We start from the raw sequence: 11,789 nt of genomic DNA, 5'->3' as shown, positions 1-11,789 counted from the left end.
GCTCTTACTTTTTCCTTCTGTCCCCTGCTGCCTTTTTAAATCAAAAAAGCCACATAGAGTATTAACCCTTCTTCAATATATTGACCCACCATACTGTTCAGCATTTTACCTTCTTTTCATGTCTGCTGTCATCCATGAAAAATATTCTGAATTTACTCAGCCTTCCTTTCAATGACTCAAATTTGAATCTTCTAATCATTCTAGTTTCTCTTTTCTGGACACATTCCAAGTACTCAATTTCTTTGTAAAGCATGGCACCACCACAGCCCCAAGAATGATATGCGAAGGCAAATCTGGGAGGAACAAATATGTACCTTGTTATGAGTATTATGCTTCTTTGAATACAGCCCACATGTAAATCAGTGTGTACGAGAGTCTCTATCTTGTCTACAAGCATATTATACAAGTTTGTCAATATGCCTTGCTGAAACTCAATCAAGAATCAAATCGTTTTACAATCTCCTGGATATCCATCCCACACTAAGCTTATGAGCTCTATCATTATTAAAGAACATGTAAGTGGTTTTCAAGGTACCCCTTCCTGGCAATCAGGTAAGACTTATTTTCTTACTTGTCTTATCCCAGAGCATGTGCTGTGTCATTATACACAAATCGTTTTCCCCTTGGGGACAGTCACTTTCTAATGTAAGGGACAGCATACATTGTGCTGCTGATTATATAGATGGGAAAGATCAAACAAAGTGAGATGTTAAGTGGCAAAGCATTTCAGTAGCTGAGTCAACAATTCAAAGACTTTTGAACAAAAGAATATTATGGTGAGTTCTTTAACTTAGAAAAATGACTGATAGAAACAGAATTTATTGCTCTTAAGACATGATTTTTTTAGCTTGATCTGGAAGCCACAATCATACAAACATCAAAAGAATACTCCATACTCAAACAAGAGACACAGAAACAATTCTATTAAACAAGTCATTTGTTCACCCAGCAAACATTTTTGGAGAGAAAATAATTATTTTACTTATCCACAGAGGCTTAAGGAAAAGAGTAAGATTCTAGAGTGACATCTCATAAGTCAGAGCCAATTATTTTCAAACACTACCAATTCCAATGAGCTACAGTGAAGGTAATCTTGAATAAAGTTCAAGATTTCACTGTGTATGTTTGCAAATGATAGACATGACATACATAAGTCTTATGGGAGTTCAGATTCTAATAAGCTGGCACCCCAACCTGACAGCAACTCCTCTGAAGTCAATCTGTCTACGTAATGGACTTGGATGCCAGTTCCAAAATTCACACAGAAAATTCATCTGAGGAAGTTGTTCCCTGGAGACATCTTCTGTATTTACACTGGGTAAGACAATGTGTTTTAAAATCCATAGGAAAATCACAAGGGGAACAAAGACCACTCCCTTAAAAAAAATAAAAAGGAGTAAAAACAATCTAAGAATTAGATACCCTGTAGTCAATCATGCAAATGACTTTTTCTGAGTTAACGTGCTGCCTGTCAGCATCACCTCTCCCAACTACATTGTCTGAAAACTCAATCTGGCTGTTCTGTTCTAAATGAACAGGAAACTCTTCAACAGTATCCTCTATAGGATGTCTTGATAACATCAGTAAGCAGAGCTTTGGGCACACGCCTCTTGGTCACATACACACCCCAGATGAGAAGACTGAAATTCTTCTAGGTTCTCATAAGTAACAAAATGATAGCCTTCTTGGCCTCTGAATGCATGCGTGCGGGGGAGAAACTAGACTGTTATCACTGCAGTCAGAAGGAACAAAGTCATGAGAGACGTTAACAATTTGCAAAGTAGGGTGTGTCCACCATCCCACCCTTTCTGCCTGGCATCTGTTTCACCAGTCTCTCCCCTAGTGCAGGAGGGACCTGAAAGATACTTGAGAGACAATTCTTATTATTTATTTATCTAACAATGTCACAAAATAGTAAGTAGATATATTAACCACTACTAATTTTTAGAGAAATGCTTAAGCATTGAGGATCCCAGAAAGAAAAGTAGAAAAGCAAAATCCTGCAAATTACCCACAAATCACCACTAATTTTGAATACTACAAGCCTGTCTATTTTATTCCATTAAAGATGTGGCCAGGCGCGGTGGCTCACGCCTGTAATCCCAGCACTTTGGGAGGCCGAGGAGGGCGGATCACCTGGGGTCAGGAGTTCGAGTCCAGCTTGGCCAACATGGCAAAACCCCATCTCTACTAAAAATACAAAAAAAAAAAATTAGCTGGACATTGTGATGTGCACCTGTAATCCCAGCTACTTGGGAGGCTGAGACAGGAGAATCGCTTGAACCTGGGAGGCGGAGCTTGTAGTGAGCCAGGATCGCGCCACTGCACTCCAGCCTGGGTGACAGAGCAAGACTCTGTCTCAAAAAAAAAAAAGAAAGAAAATTAAAGCTCCGTGTGCTCTTATGCCTAAACTGAAGCATAAATAGAGAAGTATCATGGAAGTCAAACCTAAAGCCTGGCAGGTCCTTTGCTGGTAGGCATGTTTATATTTTGGTTCTGAGCAGTATTATCGTTTATACATAATAATAAATACACTAAAACATAAATTTTGATGAAAGATAATTAGCTAATGTTTAGGGCTATAAAATGACACCAAAATAAAAAATTCAAAGGGGTATTTATAGTGTCCTTCTGTTAGTTTCTTAGGGCTGCCCTAATAAACTACCACAGGCTGGGTCACTTAGAACACCAGAAGTCTACTTTCTCATAGTTCTAGAGGATAAAAGTCTGAAATCAAGGTGTTGGTAAAGACATCTGTTCTCTGGCAGCTCTAGGGAAGGAATCCTTCCTTTTCTCCTCTAGTTTCTGCTGCTGCCAGCAATCCTTGGTGCTACTTGGCTTATAGATGCATCACTCCGATCTCTTCTTCTAATTCTCATGGCCTTCCCCGTATGTCTGTGTCCAAATTCTCCTCCTCCTATAACAATACCAGTCACTGAATCAGAGCCAACATAATCCAAGGTGATCTCACTGTATTTCTGATTACATCTGCAAAGACTATTTCTGTAGGAGGTCACATTTACACGTTCTAGAGTTTAGGACTTCACAGTATCTTTTTGGGACACATGATTCAATCCATAACAGAACTCACTTAAACCACTGACTCACTCAACAAACTACAGCTAGCCATACTGATATGACTCTTGGGTGCTGAAGGGTGATAGAAACAGGGAAGAAGGCACATGGCTCACAGAGAACAGCCATGTCATAATGCGTATTTTTGTATCAGGACCATGGACAGTAGCTCATGTTCCTTCCACCACCTCCCCCATTTCACCCCAATATTGGTGATGCTTATGCTTATGGAGAGAAAGCCTCTACACTAAACTAGGCTTATTAAAAACTATTACTTGGTTGGTCTACTTTTTCTAAACATGTACTCTATAAATCAATTTATCTTACTCACTGTCACTTCGCCTGGTATGGTGAAAAAAGATTATGATAGTGGAAAACAGTTTACTGGCCTATAAAGGTTGCTGTTACCTTTCTTTAATCTAGGGTTCTATCTTCATTGCAAAGTCCTAAAACCTAAATACTTGGCTTAATAAATAATGATCCAGTGAAAGAAATGGCTTTTACCATTTAAACTCATCCAGAACTTATTTGTTCCTGAAAATAAATGAAATTGCTATAAGATACTTAAGCTATAAAAGTTATGTTGCATTTCTAAGATGAAGCATGTTAAAGCAATGTGTAAAGAAACATTAATGGGCTGGTATCAATATGTCATAAAGCCAGAATGGGAGGTTGGAAATGGAAAATGGGAAGGAAATGGATGGAGTGGCCATATCTAAGGGCTCAGGTAATGGACAGCTGTCTGTGTCCTTCTATGGAGCTTGAGCTTTTATCGCAGAAAATGGGGAACTATTGAGGAGTTTTAGGCATAGGAGTGATGTGGTTAAATTTGCATTTTATTTAGATGCTCTGTTGATTGTGTAAAGGATAATTTAGAGGTTGGTAAGACTAGAGGCAAAGCAAAGCTGTTAACTAGGGTGATGATACTGAAAACAGGAGAATGGAATGGACTTCAGAAATACCTAGGGGATGGAATCAGTAGGTCCATCCTAGTTACTGATTGCATAGAAGAGGTTTACATTTTGCCTTGGGTGATTAAGAAGAGAAATCTTCTTCAGGAGGTTGTGAATAATGAGTTTGTTTGCTGATACGTTAAATTTGAATTGCCTTTGGGAGTTCAAAATCTGTACTCTTAAAGTTACAATTATCTCAGAGGAATAAGCTCTGGTGTTCTATTGCATAGCAGGGCGACTATGGCTAACAGTCAGGTATTGTGTTTCACAAAATAGTTAGAAGAGAGGCATTTGGATGTTCTTACCACATAGAAATAATAAATACATGAAGTGATGAATACGCTACCCTGAGTTGATTATTTTACAACCTATATATGTATCAAAACATCACATTGTACCCCTATCAATATATACAATTAGAATGTGCCAATTAAAAAATTAAAAATCTGTACTATAGGTTCTATTAGAAAAGCATTGGCCCTGTTTCCTAAATCCCCGATATCAGCTTAAATCAATTCAAGCTATTCTTTCACTCTTGGGTTGTAACCTCTGTGAAAGTTGAGATCTGGTATCCCTTAGAGCCTGAGAAAATACTTGTTAACCATTTCTGTTACCAACCTCAAATTCTTAGGTCCGTTAGGTGGAGGGATTGAACAACTTATTTTCTAACACCTGGTAGCTTCTTATTGTCTTCAAGCCAAGAGGATCTTGTAGGTGTGCTTCCATCTAGGATAAGGACTTTCTTCTCAGGACTTTAGACAAAGAGAATGACTGGGGATGCTGGGTTTCTGTGGTTACTAAATTGCTGACAGCATTTAAAGGCATGTTTTTCTTGACACAATCTATATGCATGCAATGACTTGTCAGATCATCTGGTTGTTTCTGAATATCAGAGATTAGCATGCCTCTGACAGAGGGCAGGGTCTGGTGCCTTGCTGAGGAGGACTTAACAGCTTAAGATGGCAACCTACCCATTATCAGATTTAGATATGACAATCATGTGTTTTCCTGAAAGTCCCTACCCAAGGACCAGATATCTAAGACTCAATTCAGAGAGTCAAGGTTGCCATAACAAGACAGCTGGCTGTGTAGGTGGAGACCAGGCTTCCTGGTATTCCACATTCTCCACAAACTGGTGAAGGGTAATTGGAAGTGATAAGTGAATGGAGGCGATGTCTTTTTTAGATTTTCCCCAATTCTATAAAGTGAGAACAAAGGAATTAGAAATGAGTTTTCATAAAATTTTAGTATTAGAAGGCATCATGGAAACCATCTGGTTTTATAGCTTTCTTTTAAAGGCATGGAAAAGGACCCAGAAAAAACAAAATTAACAGTAGTTGCAATGTTCCAGTGAGAATCCAATTCCTTTGAGTTACAGAGCAGAGCTTTTTCAGCTGTATGTTACTTCCTACATCTTCTATTTCTTGGATTTGGATACAGGATGATATAGCCAGAAGTACCTCATTTGATTATTTTAACAAGTAATTATGCTCTGCCTTAAAAAATTTATTTGCAATAAGTTCTTAGTTTAGGGAAATCTTAGATATTGACTCAGCTTATTTATAAAAATCAGTTTTCCAGATAATTGAGGGTATAACTCGGTAAAAATTAAAAATTTTTCCTGTTTGATAATTTGATATGCAAATCTAAATTTTATTTAATTGTAATACATATTTTCATGCCTTCTTGGATCTAAGAGCTTATTCTGTGGAGAATGCTTATGTTTATGAAGTACCCATAGGTGACTTCTTTACCTCTGGTATTTGCACAGATATTTTTATTCTCAAGATACGAATGAGAAAACAAACAGAGAGTTTAAGTGACATCCAAGTGACAATGTTGGGGCTTAAGCTCCCATCTGTCATTCTATGGGAACTTGCTACTTCTATATGATGAACAGTTTACCTTTACTTGATGTCTTAGTTTTAATTCTGCAGTTATACCAACATGACCTTAGGACCTGCTGAGAGATGCAAAGATATTTAACACCGGTTTTTGTGCTTTTCAATATACTCATATAAGCTTTTAAATTAAATTTGCTATCTCTTTTTTTTTTCTTTGGGCAATTGCTTATTGCTGTTACTAGCATACTTGACTAATGCCCTTTCTTCAGTCACTGCTTCTGTTTTCTTCTTCAAAGCTGCTGTATTCAGGCCTGAACTGTATCCTTCCTCCTAAACTTATATGTGGAAGTTTTACCCCCAGTTCCTTAGCATATAACCATATTTGGAAATAAGGTCATTAAAGGGGTAATTAAATTAAAATGAGATCTTGAGAGTGGGCCCTAATGCAACATGACTAGTGTCCTTAATAAGAAGAGGAAATATAGATGCAGACATGTACATGCATAGAATAAATACCATATGAATACACAGGAAGAAGGCTGTCAAGGAAAATGGCCTCAGAGTGAAACCAACCCTGCAGACACCCTGATCTTGGGCCTCCAGCCTCCACAACTGGGAAGAAATTAATTTATATTGTTTAATTCACCCAGTCTATAGTATTTGTTAGAACAGCCTGGAGAAAACTAATACAAATAACAGATGAAGATAGCTAGTTTTTGGAAATGTGTGTGAACTAATAATGAACAGGTCTTGAAATGGGCTGGCCTCGAAGTCAAGTTCCTGGGCTTTAGTGCACAAACATTGTGATATTGCTTTTAGCCTGTGGCAATACCTTTTGCTTATTTTGTGTCTCTGGGTTATTTTCCGAATAAGAGGAGTTACAGAATAGGTGAGTTTCAGATAGCTAAAGTTATAGTTCTACAAACATTGAATCACAAAATATAAACCAAGTGGTCCTTTAAATAAAGAAGGAGTTTTTTACTTCACAAGAGTGTTTTTCTGACATGCTTTCTGGTTGCATTTAAAATGTAATTTAATTTCCTAAACCTTAATCTATCCATACTCTTTCAAGAACTTAACAGATGTAAATATCATAGCATATGCATCTATTTCATCTTTTATTTTCCTCTCCTAGGCTATATTGGTAGTTGCAAGTGTCATATTCCTATTATTCATAATGCCTGAGCTTCCAAACAAATGTTGAAATGGAATCTGTGGAAGTTCAGAATTGTTGACTAAAGTTCACCTGCAAATGAATTAGCTCTCCCTTTCCTCTTTGGGGCTGCTTCAGTGTTTTGGGTGGAAATTACAGACCTCTAAGCAGCAAGGGAAGAACAAATGCATTAAGTGTATTTCTGTGGTAGTGACACAGACCATTCAATAGAACCTAGCAAGCAGGAAAGACTGTATGGATTTCAAAAATAGCACCCATCTGTCTGAGAGCTGCTAAAAAATGAGTTTTCACCCTTGGAACCAAATAAGACTTAGGTTCTGGAAAAGCCATAGAGAAGTTCCTCAGAGAATTACAAAAACATGTACCTTTTTGCATTCCAAGAATAATAACCAGGCACAGGAGGACACACAGTGCCAAGTTTCAAATTCAAATCAAGCAGCACATGTTAAGAGTTGAAAGTTGAACTTTGGCCCTTCCCCAGCTGAATGCTGGTAAAACATAATACCTGGGTTCAAAGGTCAGCGCTTACAAAGGCATCTTGACAAGCCACCTTGGGCACCTTAGAATGCAACATAGAAACATCTATTCAAGGCATATATAACTTAGGGATAAATGAATAAAGAGTATAGTTTATGTGTTGTGTGTGTATGAATATATATACATAAAGATACATTTATAGAATTTAAAATCAAGGGGCAAACTTTAAGAAAACATTGGCTGGGTTTAACTAAGTCAAAGGCATTATTTTGCAGCAGGGAAGGGAATAGGTAACCCTAGGATGTTTTGTCAGAAATGAAATGCCATCATATTCATATTTCTGGCAACTAAAAAAAGGAAAATATCACATTTTTATGTCTGTTTTGAAAAGAACACGTGGTGAAATAGTATTCAGGATGTGGTTGTGGTTCCAAGTCATTTGCAAATCCAAACTTCCTTCAGTTTTGTTATCTCTCACCTTCATTTACAGAAATAGGAAGCACCATATCTATTTTATGAAGTGTTAAATTCACTGGTGATAAAATATCAGAATTTGCATGTTATGCCTAATGATTCAGTTTTTGATGTGGCAAACATCCAGATAAAAATTATCTGGTCATTTCATCGTGCTATGGAAAAGCAGAATGAACCGTCATTTTCTAATGAAATAACATGTGGGCACCCTTAAAGTCACCCTAGCAGACACCCTTAAAGGCAAACACACACACACAAATTCTCATGTCACCTACATAGTAATAACCTATATAAGAAGTTATAGCAAAGCACCAGGGAAACAGAACATCATCAAATGCAGTTCTTGCATTTAAAAACATCAGAGTCAACTATTAACATTCCTACAGAGACATTCATAATAGAAAAAGGATTATAATAAGGCAAGTGGTGAAAGTGTAAACAGCATTCATGCACTACGGGCTGAGTATCTAAACTCTCCCATCACTGGAAGTTTAGTCCATTGAGAATTTGCATGGCTTGGTAAAAGCCTGAAAACCTCCACTGATCTTATTTATCAGCGGAGCGAAATAGAGACTATAATCTGTTTTGTTCACCATAATATCTCCAGTATCTGGCACATCTGCTGGTACATAAGAGATCCACAATAAACATCACTGAATAAATGGAAATGCATCTTGGGACACAAAACACAGAGTTCAGTTATCAATACAGAGAAACCCAAATGTGATGTAAAATGGAATGGCCCATGAGATCCTGTCTCCATTGGGAGACAATTCTTCATTATCTCCCATATTTTGTTTCAGACCAAGCCCACCCAAAGAGATAGAATGTGGGCATCTACTGAGATCATAATAACTGAAAAATAATCATAGTAACTGAAAAAAAAAACATGAACCACCAATCTAAGAATCTCAGAGAACTGCAAAAAGAATAAATACAAAGCATCACACACATATACATGTATCTAAGCATACTATATTCAAACTTCTGAAACCAAAATTAAAAGCAAATCTGAAGGCAGTCAGAGAAAATGGACATACTACAAACAAAGAAACAAAGGTCAGAATCACCAGAGACTTCTTGTCAGAAAATATGTAAGCCAGGAAACAGTGGAATGACATCATTAAAAGGTTAAGAGTTTTTAAAAAAGGCCATCAATCTAGATTTCTTTAATCTGTAAAAATATATTTCAAACATGAAGGTAAAATAAATATTTGTGGGTAAGCAAAACTAAGAGAATTTATTTCCAGGAAACCTTGACTATAAGAAATATGAAAGGCAGTTATTGTGGCGGAATGAATATGATAGCAGACAGAAATTTAGATCTAAAAAATAAAAATTTCTAGGAATGATTAAATGGAGACTAATATAAAAGACATTAAACATTTTAATCACTGTAAAAGATGTTACTGTCTAGCTCAAAAATACTAGCAATGTACTTACGGGTTTACCCCGTAAGAAATACAAATATATGGCAACAATAGCACGAAGATGAGAAGTAGAATTCAAAATATATTGCTATAGAGAGTTCACATCTTACTTGAAGCTGAACAACCTTGATGGTAAATTTTAATTGATTAAATATGTATATTGTAAACCCTCAGGCAACTATTACTTATAATTTTTAAAAGATGTATAAATTATAAACCAATAGTGAAGATTAAAGTGAATTATAAAAATACTTAACCTAAAAGCAGGCTGTAAACCAGGAGAAAGGATAAAAAGAACAGATGAGATCACCGGAAAACAAATATCAAAGTAGGTGATTTAAACCCAATTATATCTGTAATTACATTAAATATAAATGGTTCAAACATAGCAATTAAAAGATACAGGTTGTCAGATTAGGTTTAAAAAAGTGAAACCTGACAAGAAACTAACTTTAAATATAAAGACAAATGGGTTAACAGTAAAAGATGGGAAAATATATACCATAATAATTCTAATCAAAAGAAATCTGGAGTGGCTGTACTAATATCAGACAAAGTAGATTTCTGAGTAAAGAATATTACAAGTAATATAGAAGGTCATTTCTTAATGATAAAAGGGTCAACTAATAACAAAGACCTAACACTCCTATTAGCAGAGCTTTAAAATATTTGAAGAAGACCTGATAGAACTACAAGGAGAAAAAGCCAAATACACAATTACAGTTGAAGACTCAATAGTTTACTCTGAGTAACTGATAAAAAAAAGTAGGAAGATAATATTCAGTAAGAATATAAAAGCCCTAAACATCACTATCAACCAAATTGACCTAGTTGATATCTGTAGAACATTTCACTCAGCAGCAGCAGAGTACACACTCCTTTCAAGTCATAAAATATAGACCACAGATCATATTCTGGGCCATTTAAGGAATGACCAAAACACATTCAAAGAAATTGAAAGCATACAATGTATGTTCTCTGATCACAATGGAATTAAACTAGAAATTAATAACAGGAAAATACCTGGAAAATCTCCAATTATTCAGAAGTTAAACAGCACTAAGTAGTTCATGGGTTAGTGTAGAATTCACAGAGGAAATGGAAAATATTTTGAATGAAATGAGAATAGTAACACAAGATATCAAATTGTGGAAAACGCAGGTAAAGCAATGCTTCAGGGAAATTTGTAGCATACATACATAAATGTTAGAAAAGAAGAAACATCTTTTCTTTCTTTTTTTCTCTTTTTTAACTTTTATCTTAAGCTCAGGGGTTCATGTGCAAATTTGTTACAAAGGTAAACTTGCATCATGGGGTTTATTGTACAGATTATCACCCAGGTAATTAAGCCTAGTACCCATTAGTTATTTTTCCTGATCCTCTCCCTCCTCCCAATGTCTGCTCTCTGATAGGTTCCTTTGTGTGTTGTTCCTCTCTATGTGTCCATGTGTTCTCATCATTTAGCCCCCACTTATAAGTGAGAAAATGTGGTATTAGGTTTTCTGTTTCTGCATTAGTTTGCTGAGGATAATGGCCTCCTGCTCCATCCATGTCCCTTCAAGGGACATCATCTTGTTCTTTTTTATGGCTGCATAGTATTCCATGGTATATATGTATCACATTTTCTTTATCCAGTCTATCACTAATAGGCATTTAGATTGGTTCCATGTCTTTTCTATTTTGAATAGTGCTGTAATAAACATATATATGCATGTGTCTTTATGATATAATGATTTATATTTCTTTGGGTATTTACCCAGTAATGGGATTGCTGGATTGAATGGTATTTCTGTCTTTAGGTCTCTGAGGAATCACCACACTGTAAACATCTTGAATCGAGGACCTAAGGTTCCACCAAAGAGGCTAAAATCAAGAGATTATACATTTCTGCTCCCTGTACTCCTGTCTAGCCAATACCCCTTTGCCCCTCCCAACTCCACATACAAGTAATTAATACAAAGCCAGAGCATTTTAAAATCAGTTTCCAAAAATTTATACATTCATTCCACCATAAGGCTAAGTTCTCCATTGTTATTAGGTTTTACTGAAATACTTTCTTCAAAGTAAACAAAGTAAGAAAAAAAATGCTTGAAATCACATGGATTCATTTGTCCTCAATGAGTCAAAGACTCAGCCACCAAAACATTTCTTATTTCAAGAAACATTCTCATTAGGCAGTTATCATAATTGGCCTAAGAATCTCATGCAGTTGAATCTAAGGCAATATAATATGTAGCCTAAGAATTGTGTTTGGTAGAGTGTTCTATAAATGTAGCTGTTACTAGTATTCATATAAGCACCATTTTTTTTCCTTTTTTAGTTTTAAGGTCTTTTTTTAAAAACTCGTATTTTAGGTTCAGGG

This window comes from Homo sapiens, chromosome 6 (assembly GCF_000001405.40).
Source record: "Homo sapiens chromosome 6, GRCh38.p14 Primary Assembly".
Classification (NCBI taxonomy): Eukaryota; Metazoa; Chordata; class Mammalia; order Primates; family Hominidae; genus Homo; species Homo sapiens.
The sequence above is the reverse complement of the archived record's forward strand: the minus strand, read 5'-3'. Positions refer to the sequence as shown.